Source organism: Homo sapiens, chromosome 3, assembly GCF_000001405.40.
Source record: "Homo sapiens chromosome 3, GRCh38.p14 Primary Assembly".
In the NCBI taxonomy this organism is placed as follows: Eukaryota; Metazoa; Chordata; class Mammalia; order Primates; family Hominidae; genus Homo; species Homo sapiens.
In genome coordinates, this window is record NC_000003.12 from 60,255,459 (window position 1) to 60,256,280 (window position 822).

The window sequence follows — 822 nt, forward strand, 5'->3', positions numbered from 1 at the left end:
GAGTAGTGGGAACTGCAGCCAGCCGGACAGAGCAAGCACCACCCGGGGCGACAAACCCAACTTCTCACCAACTGCTTTCAGGAATGGAATGAAGGCCCTGAGTAGCTGGAATCACTTATTTTCCAAAAGCCGCCCCAAATCTAACTTTCCTATGTGAAATGTCCCAATAAAAATTTCGGTGGCTAGTTTATATTTTTTTAAAGAAAAGATAAAATAAAAAGAAATGAGGACTAAAGAAAACAGTCAGTGGCCTCCAGGAGGAACCATGAGACATTAGTCTGCAGCCTTAGATGGATATCTATAACTGGTGTTCATGGACCTGGGAGGTGGAGGTTGCAGTGAGCCGAGATTGTGCCACTGCACTCCAGCCTGGGCAACAGAGCGAGACTCCATCTCAAAAAACAAAAACAAAAAAAAACAAACAACAAACTGGTGTTCATGGTTAGTGCTATGGCTTATTTCATGCCCTGTCCTTGAGGGGGATCTCAGCCCCTAAGTGAAACACTTGAAATTAGTAAACTGGGTCGGCTTGCAAGCCTGATTTTTGAAAAGGTATTATGGTGAAACCTGGAAACCTGCATGAATTCTAATGTGGCCCACCTTTATACCTATGTGAGATGATCTTGAGCTCTGTAACCTCCATTGATCTTACCAGTGGCTCAGCTAGCTCTCATTTTATTTGTCTTCTTGACTCTCCCTTAAATTCCCCATCGTGCCTATTCCCAATTTATGCCTCTTAAAAGTCATTAGTAACTGAAATGAGCAAAGTTTAAGAACTGGTGCCTCTTCCTGGCCTCCATATGCTTTAATTTCATTGCAGCA

The 822-nt window shown here is 43.3% G+C and overlaps 1 protein-coding gene across 6 annotated transcripts in view; it reads right to left on the bottom strand.

The window, feature by feature from the left end:
• FHIT (fragile histidine triad diadenosine triphosphatase) overlaps nt 1–822 on the bottom strand; it is a 1,504,176-nt gene that overhangs the window by 508,182 nt on the left and 995,172 nt on the right. The gene's annotated exons all lie outside the window — the stretch shown is intronic.